The 21952-nt window shown below is 37.1% G+C and overlaps 1 protein-coding gene across 9 annotated transcripts in view, besides 1 other annotated feature; it reads right to left on the bottom strand.

Moving 5' to 3' along the window:
* The window catches only part of NKAIN2 (sodium/potassium transporting ATPase interacting 2), a 1021776-nt gene that overhangs the window by 843210 nt on the left and 156614 nt on the right, over positions 1-21952 (bottom strand). The window lies entirely within an intron of this gene.
* Positions 15961-16494: an enhancer, noted in NCBI's record as "OCT4-NANOG hESC enhancer chr6:124287082-124287615 (GRCh37/hg19 assembly coordinates)". NCBI's record gives its function as "activates a minimal SCP1, AML or CMV promoter by ChIP-STARR-seq in primed H9 embryonic stem cells {active_cell/tissue: H9 hESC(primed)}" and the evidence as "EXISTENCE:reporter gene assay evidence [ECO:0000049][PMID:30033119]".

Raw genomic sequence — 21952 nt, 5'->3', positions numbered from 1 at the left:
CTAAGCCCTATGCAGTTAAATCTCTCCTTAACATCTAACCTAAAGTCACCTTTCTTTATAATAAATCCTTCTTTGACACTTTCAGAATTAAGAAGCCTTGCCCTCTTTGCGTGTCTTCACAATTGTGTTAAGTCTATTATAGTATTCATTTTAGTTTGAAAGCAATAAATACAATATTAGTACAAGCACACTGTCAAGAAATCCCTAGAATATGGCTCCTCTGAAGGTTGACATGGGTCTGCCTCGCATGTATCTTTTCATCTCCAGCATCCAGATCAGAGTCAACAACAACAACTCTACAAATATCAGGCTTCTTGGTGGAAAGAAATCTGGACATTTTTTCTATGAAAAAAAAGTTAGGTTACATGGCATTAATATTTTTGCTAGACTTAACCTACAGAAAATGTTTCAAGCTTATAAAAAGATTACATAGTTTTAACTTAACCCTGGACACAAAATTGCAGTGCTCCTCACATTTTAATTGGCACCTCCAAATCACTCTGATACTGGCCAGTTCATTAAATACTAACCTAGTAAGATATGCTGATCTGGATCCCGTCAACCTCCCCTCTCCAGCTTCTGCTCCCTTTGCCTGCTCTCCCTCTCCATCCCCCTCCCTCAACACACTCACATCTCAAGAAAATCATGGTGTTTTGCACTTAACCTTCTTCATTGAATTCGGTGCTCTCTCAACACTCAGTGTCTTATCATTAAATCAGATTTGGAAAATATTTTACCCTCCTGTGATGTTACTCTTCCTGCCATTTGAAGCAGCATGGACCAAATTGTCGCAGACAAGTCTATCAAGAGCTGAAACTCCACAGGCCATTCTGCAGGGTGTGCTTGGTCTTGCTCTCCCTCTTTGAGAACATTAAGCTTGATCTTCATATGTGATGGAATGAAAGCGACTGGAAACAGAGAGTGGCTAATGGGAAGGTCTGCATTCACAGGGGATCTATGCAAAGCCAAAATTTAGCACCGTGGGGCATGCAGATGTACAAGAACTCCCTGGAAAATGTTCTGTTTTTCCTCGTCTGAAAGGTTCTCTGAATAATCAGAACTATTCCATTGGAGGTATGATGCTTTTTTTTTCCAGCACTGGTTAAACTATTTACATAAATTAAAGTATATGCATACCTATTATCAGACTCACATGAAAAAGCTTTCTTTACCTTCAAAGACAGTACCCTCTTCATGTAGCAACTACTCCTTGTATGGACAGAGATATGAAAAGAAGAATAAGCAAGCCAAAAAGATAACTGAGGCCTGGGCGTGGTGGCTCACGCCTGCAATCCCAGCATTTTGAGAGGCCGAGGTGGGCAAATCACAAGGTCAGGAGATTGAGACCATCCTGGCCAACATGGTGAAACCCCGTCTCTACTAAAATACAAAAAATAGCCGGGCATGGTGGTGCGTGCCTGTAGTCCTACCTACTCGGGAGGCTGAGGCAGGGGAATAGCTTGAACCTGGGAGGTGGAGGTTGCAGTGAGCAGAGATCGCACCACTGCACTCCAGCCTGGCAACAGAGCAAGACTCCATCTCAAAAAAAAAAAAAGGATAAGTGAAAAAAAGCATAGAACACCCCCACTTAATCCCAAGATCTCTCTCTTATTCCATTCTTCTTGGATCCCAATTCAACATTATGAAAGTCAGTTAAGGGATCAGAAATCTTACAGAAAACAAGTATCTACTAAGTATCCTTTAAATAATTAAACACATCTGACTTGAACATTCAAAAGCCTTTGCTTCTCAAAGATAAGACATTCATTTTAGTATTCAAATCTTGTTTGGAAGTTAGCTGTGCTGCCTGAATCACAGAATGCCTTCTGTTTTGTAATTCTAAAGTGACATTACTCTTGGGCTTTAGTGACATGGTATAAACTGCTGGCATTTACAGAGTACTTAGCAGTGATACCAGTAAATCAAGACGACGTTTCAGCAACACTTAGGTTTTAAACCTCTACCTCACTAACCCTGTGTCCCAGCCATTAGTAATGTATAATTGAAATCTTAATTCTCACTGACTTGGGCTGAGTCAAGCCACTTCAGAAAACAATAATACTATCTGACATGCATGACCTTTTTGATTAAAATAACTTGTCACTTTTACAGAATGTCCCTTCCATATCTCATTAGCAGCTTCAGAGCCTCCAGTCTTCAAAAAAGACATTTATTTCAGGAGATGCTTAGAAAATGTGCTTTCCTCTTGGAAGTGTTACTACACTAATAAGGTATTTATCTACATGTCATTATTAGCAAGAAGAATTCTGGCTTCTATAATGAAACACAAAGAAAACAACAGCAATTATAAAGGCATCCCCAAGGTTAGAAAATGTCTATATGAAGATCAAATTCAAATATATTCCCAATTTATTAAGAGCTCTCTATATATGCAAATGTTCACAAACTAATTAAACCAATCACTGTCTAATATCATAATCATCTAATATCATAATCAACCTGTATCATAATGTTGACTAACGAACAATTCTGTAGATATTTGCAGGAGATAATTGGATGGCATTTAACTGGAGAGAGAGAGAGAAAAAAACAAGGTAGACACAAACAAGAGCTAGAGACTCTACTCAGATTTTATTGTCTTGTCCTCATTACCTATTCAAATGAGAGTTGAGCTCAGAAATGTTTTAAGGAGACACAGAGAACTTAAACTTCATTCCTTAATTCATCTCTTTGAATTAACTGAACTTTCTAAAAGGCATGAGGCAATTAGGACAATAACTTGATATGAAGTACACATGAAGAACAAAACAATCCTGGGCAATGGGATTTTATTTTTTAATGATAGTTGTATTGGGTTCCAGTCAGGTGCGGGTCTTCTTAAATCGAAAACCAAATAAATGGCTACAGAGATACTTCTCTGGGATGCTGGATGGCATAAACTGTTGCATTAACAGGGAATTTGGGCCCTGACTTCATTTAATGCCTAATGGAACTGAAATTGTCCAAATTGCTCAGCATACTGGTGATGTCCAAGAACTCTTAGAACCAGTCCTGAAATAGGGAAGATAAATAGGCCAGAAATACACAATGTTTGTGCACATCCTTATACCCATGCTGTGCACACCCACTGCCCTATGAGAAGGAGCACAATCATGTAATAACGAATGTTACTGCCTTACTAGGACCTACAAAACAAAATTTAAAATTATTGTTTTCTAATTCCAAGGTTTTAAATTGACATTAAAATATTTCTTTAAAAATTATATAAGCTATTTTAAGAGTTACACATTGCCCAGATCAAATCAGATTGATTTCTGATTTGTCTTGGAAAACAAAAAAAGATGAAGAATGTAAATGAACTTCTTATTTGATAATATTAGGCAATAGTCACAAACATAATTGCTCAGAATTTATGCTAGGAAATGATAGTTATATTTGTTTTATCTAAGGCTATCTCTTTAGGAAGGGTTGCAGTTCAGATCACATTCAAACCCTTTCTTAAATGCAATGATCTCCGAAACTACAGGGTAATGTCCTAATCAGTTGCATAAATCTGCTTTGTGATAAACTTAAAAAAGAAAAGCATCACCTTTGATTAAGAAGGTAGTCAGTCCATAACTATTTAACCATGAAGCTAATTCGCCTGATAAATATTGAATTCTTGAATTTATTGACAATATACTTTGCATGGTAGAAGCAAGTCAACCAGTTGAAAATAAGCCTTAACAAGATATATGTGAGTGTCTAATATGTGTGTGTGTGTTTACTCACCCATACACACACACACACAATTGTGAAATTCAGAAATTAAAACCAAATTTTAAAACCCTCTGTGTTGTGTTACTTTATTCTTTTGTTTTTAATTAAGCTGTTCAACAACGCATTCATTTTTCTGGGAGACTAGGAGACTACGAGAAAGAGTAGTTGTACATTTCACACTATGTATCAGCACAGGTGGTTAGGATTATCACTGACTCTTTTGATGTATGAATTTGCACTGATACTATATTAATAATTGTTAACAGGCTATACTCCATTTATATTCTGCCCCAAAGTATGACATTTAATTGACAACTGCAGAGTGATTTAAAGTTGCAAACTTCCATGTCTTTATAGACTCATAATTCAAAAGGGAAAGTGGTACACACAGCAGCAATAAGTTTAAATTATACTTTAATTACCTTTGAAAGACAAATTCTTTGTAGTCCAGCATTCCTCTGAGACGTCTCACTTTTTTTATCTGAATGTAACATGAGAAAACTAACAGAGTCCAACTGCAACTGGACAAATAAATCTATGATTTTATTCAGTAAGCATTTAATGCAAACAAAATGCCTTAATTCCAAAAAATTAAGCTTTTAAAATAAAGTGAAAATTTAGTAATGGAAAGGAGTGTTTCTTAAAGGTGCATAAACATGATAAGTATTAAGTTAAAAGCAGAATTTTACTATTCAAAATTCTTGATGCACACATTTTTGTATTTGTTCTTCATGCTCATCTAGCTTTGTATCTTCCTCCTCAATAAGACATGAGCTACACTCTTTAAAAATCTCCCTACAACATGTTGTCCATCTGTAAAATTTGAGGGTTTGTATGAATACGTGCTTTCATCCATGAAAGTTAAGATAAAAGGAGAACAAATGAATCAAGACAGAGAAATACAAGTGATGCAATTTTTATTCTATGCAAAGGATGTACAGTCTAAATTTATGAAAAATATCTGCATAAGCCATTATTAGTCCTGTTCTGACTGCCCAAGAATGTCTGAAGTGCAAACATGTTCAGGACTACAGAAGCAAGGATCTCTGGCATTCAGTAAATTAACTGCCAGAGAAAGGGCTCCGGATAAGACACAAGTAATTAATAAGGAAATTATTCTCACCTATTAGCATATTTGTTCCTAAATGAGATATATCTCACAACTCTACTACTGAGTTACAGCCCTCCTCTCAACAAAGAGAATCATTTGATAACCATTTGATTAAAATGTAAGCTTTACATTTTAATCAAACCTTCCTCATAAGCCTGAACTAAGTAGCTTTTTGTTTGCTTGTTTTTAAAGTCAAGGTTTCACTCTGTTGCTCAGGCTGGAGTGCAGCAGCATGATCACAGCTCACTGAAGCCTCAAATTCCTGTGTTCAAGTGATCCTCTTGCCTCAGCTTCCCAAGTAGCTAGGCATACAGGCACACACCACCTTTTAAATTTTTAAATCACTAACAGAGAGCTTAGTATACTGATTTAAAGTCAATATTACTGTTAATGTTAAGGAGTTCAAGACCAGCCTGGGTAGCATAGTGAGACGCTGTCTCTACAAAAAATTAAAAGAAAATTATCTGGGTGTGGTCACACATGCCTGTGGTCCCAGCTATTCCAGAGGCTTAGTTGGGAGGATCACCTGAGCCCAAAAGGCCATGATTGTGCCATTGCACTCCAGCCCAGGCAATAAGCGGACTATTAATATCCCACATTTCTTTTTTGATTGTTCAAAACTGGATAAAATTAGACCTGGATAAAATTATCAGGTGCATTAAGGACAGTGAACATTACTATTATCCGTGCCACTTTCTTACCTATTCTTCTAAATCTTCAGAGAAGGAAATATACTGGTAATGACACTGAAATGATGAAAGAGTAAAAAGTTCACAATTTTGTACACTGTATACACTTTATTTTTAACTAGTTCTTTTTGTAGAACATTTTGCTTCCAATTCAGTTGCATATAAAGGTAGTAAATCCTAATTCTTGGCCATTTGTAAATATATGATGCATGATAGTTAATTTTATATGTTAACTTGCAGGGTGTGTTTGAAAGAGATTATCATTTAAATCAGTGAACTCTGGATAAAGCAGACTGTCCTCCATTATGTGGATGGGCCTCATCCTTTCAGTTGAACAAAAATGCTGGCCTTCCAAATCAAGAGGGAATTCTCTAGCAAACTGCACCATTGGTTCTCTGGGGTTTCCAGCCTGCCAGCCCATGCTGAGGATTTTGAATTTTTTAGTCCCCACAATCACATGAGCCAGTACTATACTTCTTTCTCTCTCTCTTTCCATATATATATATATATATATATATATATATATATATATATATATGGGAATATATATATATATATATATGGGAACATATATATATATGGGAACATATATATATATGGAAACATATATATGGAAACATATATATGGAAACATATATATGGAAACATATATATATATATATGTTCTTGCTATTGTCTGGACGTTTGTGTCTTGTATTAATCCATTTTCATGCTGCTGATAAAGACATACCCAAGACTGGGTAATTTATAAAGAAAAAGAGGTTTAATGAACTCACAGTTCCACGTGGCTGGGGAGGCCTCACAATCATGGTAGAAGGCAAAAGGCACGTGGGACATGGTGGCAGACAAGAAAGCATGTGCAGGGGAACTCCCTCTTATAAAACCATCAGATCTTGTGAGACTTATTCACCATCATCAGAACAGCATGGAAAAGACCCGCCCCCATGATCCCCACATGATTCAATTACCTCCCACGGGGTCCCTCCCGCGACATGTAGGAATTGTGTGAGCTACAATTCAAGATGAGATTTGGGTGGGGATACAGCCTAACCATATCATGTCCCCACCAAAATATGCATGCTGAAACCTGATTATTGATATTACGGTGAAAGGAGGTAGGGCCTTTGGGAGGTTATTATGTCATGAGTGTGGAGCCCTCATGAATGGGATTGGTGCCTTTATAAAGGGCTAAGAGACTCTCTTCTTTTGCTATGTGAAGACACAGCAAGAAGGTGCCACTTATGAGGAAGTTGGCCCTCACCAGACACTCAATCTACGATTGCCTTGATCTTGGACTTCCCAGACTCCAGAAATGTAAGGAATACATTTTTGTTGTTTATAAGCCACCCAGTTTATGATATTTTGTTACAGCAGTCCAAGTGGATTAAGATAGTTCTGTTTCTCTGGAGAACCCCAATACATAGTTTATAGACAAGTAACTTTTCTAAAAAGAATTTCTTTAAATGATTTTAAATCTGTAATTAAGTTATAGTGCTTCAGAATCCTCTCCTTGTGCATGAAAATCCTTCAGTTTTTGTATAATTCAATTATGCAGTTTCTTATCCACCTGAAAATAGATAATTCTATAATTTTTTTCACATTCAAGTGGAAAAAGGAAAATAAAAATTGAGAATTTCCTGAGCATTTTTCTTCCCTTTAAAAACGAATTATAATATTTCTTTCAAACCCAGTTTATTCAACATTTGTTATCTCTTAGTAGTGGGTTATTTTATTTTACCTGTTTAACCTTAGAGAAAGAATAGCTAATGAGTAGTTCAACATTTCCCCTATTACATAAAATGGGTTGTTGGCAAGACAGGTTAATAACTTTATTTTCTCCTTCTATCTATAAAGTTTTACTCTCCCTTCCCCTTAATAACCAAACATACGCTAAAATGAGGAAATAAATGGATTCAGGTCCAGAAAATTAATTCTTTAATGATGGATAGCTGCAGAGGTCAAGCATGCTAACATTTCATTATTGTAAGCGTTGGAAATACTTTATCATGTCTCACCTACTGCAGGACGCACTCTCTGTGGAGCAAGACAAAATGTTAATAAGAGTTGTGCAGACAACAAATTTAGTCTTCTCTGAGTTCCATTAAAATGTTCCGTTAGAACTTAGAAAACAGAAGATAATGTCTGCCATAATATCAATTCCCTTTTGAGGGTCCCCGTTGACACGCTCGATCTCAGTTGCATAATCTTCCCTCTGTGTTAGCTGACCTTTCTATGGTAAGAACTTATTACTCTGAAAAGCACATTCTTCAATTCAATGGTCAACCTTTTGCCCGCACAAGCAGAACACTCAAACCAATGTGCCAATACAGCAGGCTCACATTTTGACATTGGGTTTTTGTCTCTTGTTATTCACAGAATCTGATACTCCTATGTGCAGAGACTACAGTCTCCCTTGAAAACTTCATGGTCTCTATCAAATACACTAAAAGAGGATGCTTAGAAGAACCGTGGTAATTTTTATTTTAACTGATACAATCATTTCTCCTGGAACATACATAGTTTAATTCTAAAGGAAAAAGAAACACGGCAGGAACTGAAATAAAGCCTGCTGCTATCCTAACTTCAAAGTTTCATCAAAAAGAACTTATTTCTTGATTTTTCTAATCTTTAATGGAAAATATCCTTTCTAAAAGAATTAGAATTTCACTAATTTTGGAAAGTATAATGGCACACACCTCAGGTGGCTATCGAGGGTACAAACTGTTTCTTGTGCATCCTGTAATGCTTCATAACCTACCTATTCAATTTCCTTTCTTTATTAGGATGTTCTCATTCTGATCTAATAACATTCTCTGTAGATGAATGAACAGGTATTACAGATTCATTTTCATCATTTATATGAAAGCACTTTTATTTTCACTTTTCTTTCTTCTTAAAATATAAAAGTTTCGTGTCTTTGAGCCATTATATACAAAATTCCAGAGGAGTATTTTTCTTTCATAATCGATTATTAGGATAATTCTCCTTCCATTAAATTTGTTTTACGTTGGAACAAATTCTCTATTCTAAATAGCTTTCCTTCATTTTTCAGAGCATGTATTTATCACAACATTGAGCTATATCAGAAAAGTTCTATCCTTTAGCAATTCTTCAAATCTTTTTTGGCCCCAAATCTAACAGAATAACTGGATTCATATACATGGTGAAACAACTACACGATTTAGGTTGGTGCAAAAGTAATTGCAGTTTTTGCCATTACTTTCAATGTCAAAACTACAGTTACTTTTGCACCAACCTAAATAGTATTCCAGGAATGAGGACTATGAATTTGGAGTTTTGAATAGCAGGAAACTACGAGTCCTGGTATGGTGATACATTCTGCTTTTTACCCTTGAATGTGAAGTCTAGGAATCTTCAACTGAAATCATCCATTGGTTAACAGGTAACCTTTTTTCTCCTCTATATAGACAGGCCAGGGCCTGCTCCAGACACAAGTAAGATGTAAGCTATAAAAGGTTCTATGCCTTTCCACCTCGCCTTTGAGCTTCACTTTCCTCTCCTGTTATCTTTCCCCATTTCTTTCCCTCACTAAATTCACTTCATAGCTCCAAATCCTACCCTAGTTCTCATTCTTTTAGGAATGTTTTCTTTAACCTCTGCTCTAACTGTTAATAATAAGCTGTTAGCTTTCAGAGACATGTATAGTTTAATCTGCAAGCCAAGACAGAAAAAAATAAATTCTAATGGTGACATTAGACTTTCCTGGTTTCCAGCAGGAATGATATATTAGGGAGAGAACAGCCCTCTGCCTGGCACTACAGCACAGAGAAGATTGCTTAGAGATGAAACCCAAATTTTCCTGGGTCAATGTTTAAGTTAGGTTTTTCATCAGCCAATATTTGTTTTGGCAACTGGAACAAAGAAAATCTGGCAGCAAATATAAAAGTTACAAAATATACTACTCTTTAATTTTGATAGTATTAACTTTCTGGTTTATTTGATTATATTAATTTTATGGATATGGTGTTTTTACTATGTATCAGGCACTTTTCTAACCACAGTATGTATATTCCAGCACACATGCAGACCTCACAACAACTTTGTATTTATCTACCATTGGCCAAAATTTCCAATCCCATGATCTCCAGAGGAGGAAAGGGAATCTATTCCTGGAAGTCAAAGAATAAATAAGGTAGAACTAAATGGCATGGTCAATATTAGTGGCTTATGAAAATGTTTGTTGGTTTTAAAGTTGATGGCTATTTTTTGAGTAGTAACAAAGTTTTACCAACATTAATAAGGCAAGGGGGACTTTCTCCAAGCTAACATCAGGCTCTTATCTTTTATAGAGCTTTTTACACAATATCCAAAGACGCTCACTGTTCAATTATAAGATTTTCTTTCAATCTTTCAATATATCCATGTTTCAGACACTGGAATAAGTGGCAGCTTCTCAGCTACTCAGATTTTAAACCTTAGTTCCTATCTCCAGTTTTCTCAGTAAATTAAGATCTTTTTCAGTTTGCGTTTAATCTTCCATTAGGCTATTTGTCTCAGAAATCCCTTGAGTTCTGTGATGACCTAAAATCAAAAACATACTAAAAATCCAGTTTGATCAAATCTAAATAATGTATGGTTGACCCTTGAACAATATGGAGGTTATGGGTGCCAACCCCTCACACAGTAACTTTTGGCTTTCCAAAAACTTAACTACTAATAACCTACTGTTGACAGGAAGTCATACTGATAACATAAACCATTGATGAACACATATTTTGTGTATTCTATGTATTATGTACTGTATTCTCACCATAAAGTAAGCTAGAGAAAACAATGTTAAGAGAAGCATAAGAAAGAGAAAATATATTTACTATTCATTAAGTGGAAATGGAATCCTCTCTTCATCCTTGTCATCTTCATGTTGAATGGTTGGGGAAGGGGAAAGCTTGGTCTTACTGTTTCAGGGGTGGCAGAGGCAGAAGAAATCTGAGCATAAGTAAGCTTGTGTGGTTCAAACCCATGTTGTTCAAAGGCCAATTGTATTTTACTTGTCCAGACTCTTGCAGAATATGAAACTTTAAAAGCCTTTTTTAAAACATCTTAAAGCATTTTTCAAAATATATTAACTTTCAACCGTATTAATATTTATAAACAAGAGCCAAACTTTCAAATGGAAACTCACATGTTATCGGTCTGGGTGCTTGTTAGATTTCACTAACTAAGAGCAGAAGACAGCTGATAAGAAAATCCCCCAAACCTTCCCCACTCCAGCCAATGTTGTATATCCAATGGCTGTGTAACACAGACATGATGGGGACAACAAGCTTTCCTAAGGGAGATAACTTTACCATTATTCATCCAGGAATATCCGCTCAAGATATTAGATGTGTAGGAATCAAACCATCCAAACTGACACAAAGTCAGGTTTCCATCCAAACTGACACAAAGAGATTGACTACAAAGCAGAGAATGTATACTTCTTGTCTGGATGGGAGTGCTATGATAAAAAGCAGTATGTGTGCAAAAAGAAAGAACAAAACCCCTTGAAGCACATACAAATCCGTATTAAAATACAAGGCAGTTATAATTACTATATTAATATATTTTATATAATATATAATTTAAATTACTCATAGCAAATGTTACTTGTGAAAGATATTTGACTTTTACATTCTTTCTAGGCTAAATAGTGCCTTGTAAGAGAAACCTAATCTAGCTACTAGAGCATTAGTTCCACTGTCACCTGGCCCTGAGTACTCTCTGATCCTGCTACATTTTGCTTCATGGGCTTCCTTATATACTAAGTATGTACTTACTATCTCTGGCCCCAGTCAGACTATCATTTTCATTAGCACTAGAACTTTTGATTGATTTATGCCCTATTTCCTAGGCTTCCAGCATATAGTAAGCTTTCAATAAATATAAATCAAATAAATGAACAATTTTGATGTTTTACAGGACCACCACAGTTTATGACTTAAATTGCAAAGATTGTTTTAAAGCATGCCTTATTACAAAATAGTTAATATTCTTAAAAAATAAATATTTCTTTTTTTCTTTTTTTTCTTGAGACAGAGATTCACTTCGTCGACCAGGCTGGAGTGCAGTGGCGCGATCTCAGCTCACAGCAACCTCCGCCTCCTGGGTTCAAGCAATTCTCCTGCCTCAGCCTCCTAAGTAGCTGCGATTACAGGCACGCACCACCATGCCTGGCTAATTTTTTGTATTTTTTTAGTAGAAATGGGGTTTCACCGTGTTACCCAGGCTGGTCTCAAACTCCTGAGCTCAGGCAATCTGCCCTCCTTGGCCTCCCAAAGTGCTAGGATTACAGACATGAGCCACCACACCCAGCCAAACGATAAATATTTCTAAAGAACAATGAAAAAATAAAAACAAAAATCCTCATCTTTCAAGTCAGAAAGCTAAAGTTCAAAGTGAGTAAGTTCAGAACCAAAGTCAAAGGCTGATTCTGGGGCTTCTTCCTCATTCAGTACTATTTCCCGTGGTAAATTATGTCTCTATTTCTTAGGCTTTCGTGGCAATTAGAATCCCATCTGTGTTTTCATTTTATGCTCCTTTAAATTTATTTTCAGTGATAGAACTAAATTTAAACTCTTACTATTTCTTCTAGTTGTTTTTCTCACCAAACTCTCATATACATACCAGCCTTACCATTTGATTTTGTGACAGGAGTGAAACTTTGCAAAATAAAATGAAGTTCCTTTTGTTCCTCTTCCCTATTACCCTCTTCTTCCACAAAGAAGGCAACTACTAGGCTGAATTTGATGTGTATCTTCCAGTTTATGTTTTTAAACATTTATACATATATATATATATATCCATTTAATAATCAGTATTTTGTGTGTTTTAATGACATGAGTAGTATAATATTGTACAATTCTGCTCTCATATCTTGTTTTTAAAATTATGTATTTGATACATACATCTAGTTTATGCATTTGTCCTAAGACATATTATTTTATCCTTTGATTGAATTATTCATTTTACTTATATATCCACTATAAGTGAATGTCTTCTTTCAATTTACTTATTTTGGCCAATTCATTTTATCTACTAGTTATTTTTGCGGCAGACACTGCTGGTTGGGTAACCCAGAGATCATTCCAAATCCCTTTTCCTCTCTCCCAGCTCCAGGACAGAGGCTGGGAAAGTAAAATCCTTCCTTTCTTTACTCTGTCCTAGGGGAAGCTAAGTGACATCAAGGCATTGCCCATCTAGACACTGGCAACTGTATCCAGAGTGGATTCTGTTGAAGCTTTTGCTTTCCTGATAAATGTGTTAAAGGTCTCTGTGCAACTCTCTTCTCCATTCCTTTTGAAAATAGGCATGCTATTTGAAGCTCTGGCAGGCATCTTGAAACCATGAGAGAAAAACAAAAAAGTCTTACTACACAGATTCTGGCTCCGGCATTACTGAGCTAGTGCAACGGTCCCTTCATTTAGGTCTACATAAATGTGTGCCAGTCATCTTGGTGAGAAAAATCAACCTCTATTATTAGCAGAGGTAGATTTATTCTTCAGCTGGATGCATTGTTAAACCGCAGCCATCTCTTCACAATCATGTTTATTTCCATTTCCTCTTTACTTCACTTCAACAGACCTTTTTAACTCCATCCTTATTCCTTATAAAAATATATGTTTTACCTCACATCATTTCATACCATAATGAGCAAAAATCCCATCACACATTAATACCTAAGGCGCTTGCCATTTTGTAATACAGTGGTAGTCAGGGTAAGTCTCACTGGAAAGTGAGCAAAAACCTGAAGACAATTGATAGTTTTGAAAGCCGCATCTTATTTTTTCTCAGGAGATACTGAGATTGGGTTAAAATTATTTTTCAGTGGTGGGACCTATACCTCCAGGTAAAGGCAACTTATATTCAAATCACATTTAGTCAGAACTATAAAGTGGGGGACTATGAGCTGGGGGGAAGGAGGAAACTACAGAAGAGTAGAAATGGAGCTCTCCTCACAGAGCTCATGGCCCAGAGGAGGGGGTCCAGGCCAGCCCAGCACAGCAAGGTGCTCCACACTTTGAAAATGAATGGGAAAGGTCCTGTGACTCTGAGGAGGGTGAAGGCTCAGGTCTGCCTGGGACAATCACTGAAGGCTTTATTACACATTTAACCCTTGAGTTCACAATTAATGGTGAGCAGAAATTTGTAAGGCTAACAGGGGCATTCCAGAGAGAAAGAATAGCGGAAGCAGACTAGAACATCCACACAGCTTCAGGCAATGATATAAGTTTATCATGAAAGGAGCCACACTGTGAGCCATAGAGTAGCAGAAGATGCAAGTTGTGCTGATAACTAGGACACAGCTTAGAGAAAGCTAGGATCCCATTGTACAGGCAGAAATAAATGAAGAATCTCAGAGATTTGGAAAATCACTACATGGCCCAAGAAAGTTTTGAAATGAGCTCAGATGATACAAAACATTAAATGTATATATTTAATCTCTTCAGATACAGAGCAACATGTTTAATTTCTAAAGGACTGAATGCATACTCCTGCTTTTACTGCTTTGAACATTTGTTTAATTGTTTTTAAATTGTCCTCTTCAGCCCCAAGATGGAATCATCTGGACCACTATAAGTAATAGCACCCGTGGCTCCTATTTTGGACATGTGATTAATTGAAGGGCATGAGCCAGAAAAGCCGTCCCCCTGGCCCACCTCTTTCTCTTTGCTCTCAGTGCAAGTGCTCCATTTCCTGTTTCCAGCCCTCAGCTGCTTTTCTTTTCCCCCTGCCTCACAGTGATTATACTGAGAACACATTTGAAAGCAAAAAGTTGGGCGAGAATTCCAACAGGTGTAATTAATGTCAAGTGCTCCTGCAAGTGGCTGCGCTTTCCAGCTGCCTGCTCCACCTGCTGCCTTCTGTGGCTGCTTTCTTAATGCCGTGTCCATCTGTTAGAAATATGCATCCAGAACTCATCATTTTACATCCTGAGAGGCACCTGAACCCTCTTCTCCTCTTCTTAAGTGAGCCCTTAGAGCGTCACTTTATAGGCACGATTAGTTAAGTGTTGAGATACCACAGAGAGCGAGCACACTGGCTCCTCAGGGCACCTTTAATACCTTAAGGGAGTTTGTACATAATCGAAGTGGAGGAACAAAGAAGGAGAAAAGAACCCTCACTCTATACTTAAAAGGAGAAAGTGTAAGAACCAATACTTTCTTCAAATGTATACTATATCTATGTAGTTGTGAGTATGTGTATATATACACACACTCCCCCCCTTTTTTTTCACATAATGTGTCAGTTCACATTGGGTGATGTTACATTGGCTTTGTTGGACTTCTGTGCTCTACACCAACCTTCAGTTGGGGGTGGAAAACCACAGGGAAGATTCTTCTAGCACCAGTTCTGGCCCAGTGTATGGGAAATATGATGAGGACATGAAAAGCTGCAATTATTGGTAGGATAAGATAACAAACAATAGAGAGTAGCAGAGTCAAAAGGGGGGCAAGTTGTAAGTCTAACTACAGAAATGGTGCTTGGCCCAGTACTCAGCACATTATTAGCTGGCTTCCCAGTGAACTCGGCTAGATGCCATGAAGAAAAGAATCAGAAAAACCAATTATACTGACAACTGATGATAACTGAATGTGTTTTATCCCCTGAAGAGTATTTGCAATTTCAAAGAAAACTCTCGGAGTCTCAATGGCTTAAAACATACACATGTGCACACCCACTCCCACAAATGTATTTCTGATAAAGCCTGAGCTAACAGACCAAGAAGATAAGGCAGGTATTTGAGGAAATTACAAGGAAAGTGCCCAGTGCTTCTAGAAACATAGCAAAAGTGTTGCCTATTCCGGTTACACTTAAAGAGCAGTCCTGTGTCTAGTTATCTTTGGGATCTAATGAAGGGGACTGTAAGTATAGATATCTCTAAATTAATCATTTCTGAAACCCCAGGAGGTTGTTTTAATCTTTAGGACTCGGGAGATTTTTATAATGTTTATGTTAACTATGTCCTTAATAGTTTCATAGTTAAAGCATAAAATAGCAACACTACTTTAGATTGGAAATGTCATGAGAGCTGGAACCATGTCTGTGATTTTCAGTGATGTATTCCTAACACCCAGCACTTGGCATCTGACACGTGAACAGTATTTGTTGAGTGAAAAATAGCCTGCAGCAGTAGTAGTATACAGTAGACATAATATCAGCATTTTAAAGATGATAATCTTGAGCTCAGAGTTATATGACTTGCTCAACTTTGTCTGGTGTTTTTGCTACACCAGCAAATGAACTGTGGCATCTTGCTTCTTTGACATCACTGTTTTTTCCTACCACTTCTTAACAAAATCCATTTGTAAGCTCTTTTCCTTGGAAAGTTTAGTCTCAGCTTCAATCTAATTTCTAAAACTACTGAGCACAAAGTGTATCTACGCATTGTGATGGATTACAAAGATAGTCCCCTGCCCTGCTAAAGCCTTTAATACATATATATAGCAAAAATCCTATAAAAAGGTGCCTTGGCAGTAAAGCAAATTAGGGCATGAAATAATTGGCAATTGGCTCTTATGTGCTGCCTAGACTCCTTCCTCAAAATACTGGGGGAAGGACATGATTAGAATTAAAGCTCGTATCTTCTGAGGATGATTGAGTAAATGCAGGAGGGAAGGCAAGGTTGACAGAAGATGGCAAGCAACTGAGTTTTAGAAAATGGAAAAGCAGAAGAGTATCCCTGCATTCCTAAACTTCTCTCAGCCAGTATTCCCTGGATCCAGCTGACAAAAGAGGAATCACCAAAGAGAAGATTCCTGAAATTGCTACCATCGTCCTGGCAGTTCCAGCCAAAAACAGCAGGCGGAATCATGCCCACTGAAATGTAAGTTTTTATGGACCCTGTCCAGTGGGTGTCACCAAACTATAGCCAAGATTTAGAAGGGTTGATCTTAGCAGCCAGCCTTTCCTTGGGAACGACAGGCCAGCTAGCTACACAGACTTGCCTACGCTTATTTTATCAGCCTCCCAATAATGTGTGCTAACATTTTAAGCATTTAAAAATGTTTTGAGTCCCTCTAATTAATTAGACTGGGTTTTATTGTATACCAGTAATACAAGACAGAATTTAAGAATAGATTCAATAAGAGATGCCAAAACAAATTAAGTTGTGAATTCAAAGGAGGAAGGGATCCCATCTGATTGGAGAAAAGAGGAAATTAATCGTGGATAAAGTGGCATTTGAAATCTGCCTTGAAAGCTAGATAGTATTCTGATAGGGATAAGGGGATAATTCCACCTACAGGCAACAGAATAAACAAAAGGTCCAAGATGGCTATTGTGTGGGGTTTTGGAAATAAAGCAGTAGTCTAGTTTGGTTAGATCGCAGGATATGAGTAGGAGAATCAAGCATATGTGGGTTTAAAGGAATGAATACAGATCACAGGGTCTTAACCACTCTAATAAGGACTGTGAGTGTAATGTTGACAACAATGGGAGGCAACAGCAGTTTTTGACCATGGAGAGAGGGGGATTAACATGATAGGATAAGTGTGATGACTCCTAAGCCTAAATTTCCCATTCTAATCCCTTAATCAAACTTGATCTCTAAATGCTCTAAGAACATTTCTAATCTTGCATTTCACCAAAAATTAAAAGGCATATATTACTGGCAAACAAATTGTCTCTATTTTTTAATAAGTAAATTTGAGTTACCAGAGTCCAGCGTTGATTTCTGGCACCTCTGGTTATCTGTGGACTCTTCTAGGTTCCGTAACTACAGAGCTAACAAGGATGGGCATGGGTAGGATCTCCCATCAGAAAGTTTCAGTGCCAGGGGGTGGATGGATGTCTCAAAAAAAGGGCACTCATGCTATGAAGACATTCTGAACACTGAATGAAATGGAAGCTAAAGACACAGACATTCTGGGTAAAAGGAAGATCGATGGCAGAAAACAGGGATCTCATAAAATAAATAATAAAATCCAGGAAAAATGTTTACCTGGGCAATCAATTTAAGCAAGGGCTTAAATAGGGCAAAATAGGACTTAAAGAGGGCAAAAAGGGAACTGGTGATAGGTACAAGGTGAGAACATGAGCAAAAGGAATAAAATGAGAGCCCAGATGATGGAACCAGGAAACATGCTTAGCTCGAATCATGAGGTAAGAAATGGATGCAAGGCTAATTTAGTTTTGAACATAGGCTGGCCTTCCTCCAGGAACAGGAGTGGAGCTGAGCTTCCAGATGGGGTTAGGAAGACTAGATAGATGCTGGGTGAATGTGAGTACAGGAAAGTGGCTGGGCAACACTCCAAAACCGTTTGACATTTTCTCTTAAAAATTATTTCTCAAACCTTTAATAATTTTTAGAACTCTTACATACGCCCTTTCTATATCCCCAAGTCCTTTCTGTAGGAAAATGAGGAAATAATATGATATAGAAATGAGATGATATAGAGATGAGAAGGAACTTAGTTTGCATAGCAGAGACCACTTTTAAGGGAAGTTTTTATATACCTGATCCAGATGACTAGGATTTACACTGAAGCCATCAGAGGCCATTTATACAGCCTTATAAAGCAATTCAACGTGCTGACACTGGCAATTGATACTAATTAAATTTAATGAAACTAGAGGAGGTTCAGGCAAAGGCAACACAGAAATCAGGGGATGAACAGGGAGCTGTATAAGAAAAATGAAATGCTGACTTATTTACCAAATTATAAACTACTGGAACAAAGCAGGTAAAACTTGTAGGGAGAGATAGTCTTGAAATAAATAAAGAAAACAAAATTGATGTAGGTAATTTCTACTTCACACCACAATGCATTCCTGGAAATCACACCATAAAACAGCTTGTATTTTCCCCTAGGAGTAATTTTGTAATTGGATGTTGTGTTCCTGAACAAGGATTCATTTTTCAAATGAATTTGAGATATGATCAACAATATGCTATAAAGGCAAAGATAGAACAATGTTTGGCCTCTATAATAATTTAAAATATCATCATTATACTCCTAGTCCTATAAAATGGGCATACATGAACAGTGCATGTTGATTATACAGGGACCAAAATGCACCATAAATTGTAGCGACCACACATAATATTATAACTTTGCTGCCTCATAAATTTAACCTGTCTAAAAATGAACATGCTAGCTATAATAAATATTATTTAAACATTTAATCAACAATATTGAGTGTGTTCTCGGACTTCAGACGGATTGTTTTGGAAAGATAGTATTTGAACTCGAAAATTGGCATGCTGGAAGTCTCCTTGAATATCTGCTTTCTTTTACGCTTTCTGTTCACATGTATGTTTGATATACCTAATGTTTACTATGTTGCAATTTCTCTTCTAACTATTGTGTAAGTATTAATGTATTTAATCTTCATAACAATACCATAATATTGGTGCAATTTTTATGTTCATTTTATAATTGAGAGATGTTAGGCAACTTGCCTAAGGTCACACAGTTATAGCCAGAATTCAAAAACAGGATCCACACTACTACACTACATCAACTCTCTGGACAATTGCTTTTTCTCTCAACACTTCCCTGTAATAGGGGAAGCATTCCAATGGCGTTTGAGCTGTGTCCAGAGGTGGAATCATCACTCATTTAAAAAAGACACTTTAATTTTTCTCGTGAGGCAATGAAGGGAAGAGTTTTATCTTTTGTTCTCTAGTTCACCTTTCCCTCTTTTATTTCATCACTCCAAAAACATTAAAAATTGCCTAGAAAACAATGCTGAATCATAAAAAGGCAGCCTAAAGAATGGGTCTAGCAATCTGCTCAGTCTGCTATGCAAATCCTAGGCCCTGATGAGGTTAGTGTTACATAAGGTGACTGTATGAGTTTCGAGGTTTCCACAACATTAGCCAAATTATTAGTTTTTCTCCTCTTCTACAACTCTTGTACAATGTCTTCCTGAATGAAGTCAGGACCACCCACCACCACAAGCTTTAACCACCAATAATAAAATAACAGTGAGCTGACCTATTGTCAGGTTCTTACTGAGGTCCAAGGGGAGTTGGTGGGTGAGTGGCAGGTGGCTGGAAAAACACTTGAGGAACTGCAGACAGTTTTGACATGGCTTTACTCTCGCTCTGGGCAGGAGTAAGCCTAGGCGCAAGCTGTACGTACAGCGTTAGCAGGGTAATCATAACTTTTAACAGGCAATAATGGCTCTGAGCCAAGCACAAGCTCACGTGGATGATCACCTAATGTGCCTCACGTGGCGTGGTTACATAATGTGTGGGGTTGTGCACCTGTGCTGCAAATCCGCTGAGTCATGCTGCACTGGAAGGCTGCCTCAGCCTACTCATGACTAAAGTGCAATTTTCCTTACACCTGTGTAAAGAAAAGTGAAATTCGGTGACTTGCCAGCCATTAATGAAGGAGATGAGTGAAGTAAGGAGAAACAGTAAACGTAGAAATTCCTCAACGTTATGCACAAAGTAGAACTCGTAGCTCAAAGAGGCATCAGCAATTGAAAATATGAATAGGGTTATAAAGGACTCAGGAAAAATAAGACATTGATTCTTAAATAGCTCTGCAAGCAGATAAGGAAATAGAATCGTGTCCATCTTTGAAATGATGATAGTCCAATGTGCCCTTCCAAACTTCACTAATGCCTCCATTTGAGAATCTTCTTCAGACACTGATTCTAGATTGCTGATGACTGGTGGGACTCCATATGAAATATGCCATTAGACCAACGTATGTTTCAAAATGCCCAAATGAAAAACCTAGGATTCTTCCAGAGTAAATAGGATTTGAAAATACATGCAAAGTTTTTGTTTGGTATAATACTGTTATAGGTTTTCATTTGGAGAAATAAATGTTTATTTTCCAGTTTTCTTAAGATTAATTTTAAGATGGTTCGATTGCATATAAAATAATTTCATCTTAAAAAAATTAACATCCAGTATAGAAAGTGACAAAATAACAAGATGAACATCTAAACTATTTGATGAAGCAATAAAATAGCTTTCTCTTTTTAATTACCGTTTCCTCTCTCTAAAGCAGTAATTTCAATAAAGACCTACTGTCATGTTCCCACTATGCTATAAATTTATCTCTGATATTTCCACTATGTTATAATTTAATCTCTGATTATATAGTCTTAATATTCAAATCTGTAGTCACCAAAAGTTTGTGAGTAATGGTGCTCAAATTAACATTAACAACGTAAGAAGTTACAGAAAGGGGGAAAAGCTTCATTCCCAGGTGTTAAAAATGTGCCCTACACTATTATCAAAAAGAGAAAATAGATTATGTCATTTCACAAATGCAAAGTAGCAGTGGTCATTTTCGGTTCAAGCCATTATCTCTCCAATACAACCTTAGCCACAAAAATTCAATGGTTTTCACAGGCACCTAGTATTATGAATATTCTGGCAAGTAAATATAACTCAAGCACTGACACAATAAGAACTCTATTAGGGATTTGTATTTGCATATGCCTACAGACATAAAATGTTCAAAAAGTGGAGTGGACTAGAACGGAAACTGCATTATGCTGAAAAATACCAATAATAATATGCTGGCAATTGTGCTTTGATTGTTCACATTTTTTCTAAAGTGTTTTTCTAGCCCATGAACACGTGAGCTTTAAACAAGTTTGATTACAGCTGCAAAAGTATTTAATGAATCAGGAATAATCGTAGTATACAGCAAGAAAGGCTTTAGGTACAGTTTTAGGGCTTATTTTTTGTTGTTGTAGAAAATGAGACACAGGAGAGAACTCAATGCATTTATGGCACTTTTTTTTTTCTGCTTTGTCTTCTTTACTAGAATGTCACTTCCAGATTTATGGTTGCCAACCTGCAATTCTAGTCACTGAGAGCAACAGTTACAATTGCAGACTATAGAATTGAACAAGGGGAAAGACACACATAGGCATCTCCTGCTTTGCATCTGTCACAGTAGTTGCCTTTAATACCAGGGCAGTATTCTTTTGGAAAAGAAGGGAGTCTATTCATATATTTTTTTTCATTTTTGAAACATGAATCAGAATGGAAGACATATTTCCGTCTGCTCTGACTCCAGAAGAACTTGCATTGTTGCCTAGGATGCTAATCCCCGAAAAAAAGTAACAAGTGCAATTGTAGCCCCCACTCCCTTACTCTACACCGTGTATCAGAGGTCCATCATTACGTTCTCATTCATATAGGAAGAGAGTCTAAGACATGTTCATACAGAAAGAGGGTCTACACCTAATATAGACCCTCTACCACATACAAACATTTGCCTTGCAAGGCTGGGGGCCTGCTTCCACCTAATAAATACACGTTAGTGCCTGTGGCTCAAGCAGAGGGGCAAGGCTATGGCACATGAAGAGATGGGAGTGGGGAGGTGAAGAGCTATTGAAAAGGCCATCTTAGGAGGGCTGCAGAGTTGAAACCATGTGAAGACTTTCCTTCAAGAATGGCTCAAGGAGGTCTACACCTGAGGCAGAGCCACTATGTGTCCTTGAGAGATCCAGC

This window comes from Homo sapiens, chromosome 6, assembly GCF_000001405.40.
Source record: "Homo sapiens chromosome 6, GRCh38.p14 Primary Assembly".
In the NCBI taxonomy this organism is placed as follows: Eukaryota; Metazoa; Chordata; class Mammalia; order Primates; family Hominidae; genus Homo; species Homo sapiens.
This window is presented reverse-complemented; position numbering and strand designations above follow the sequence as displayed.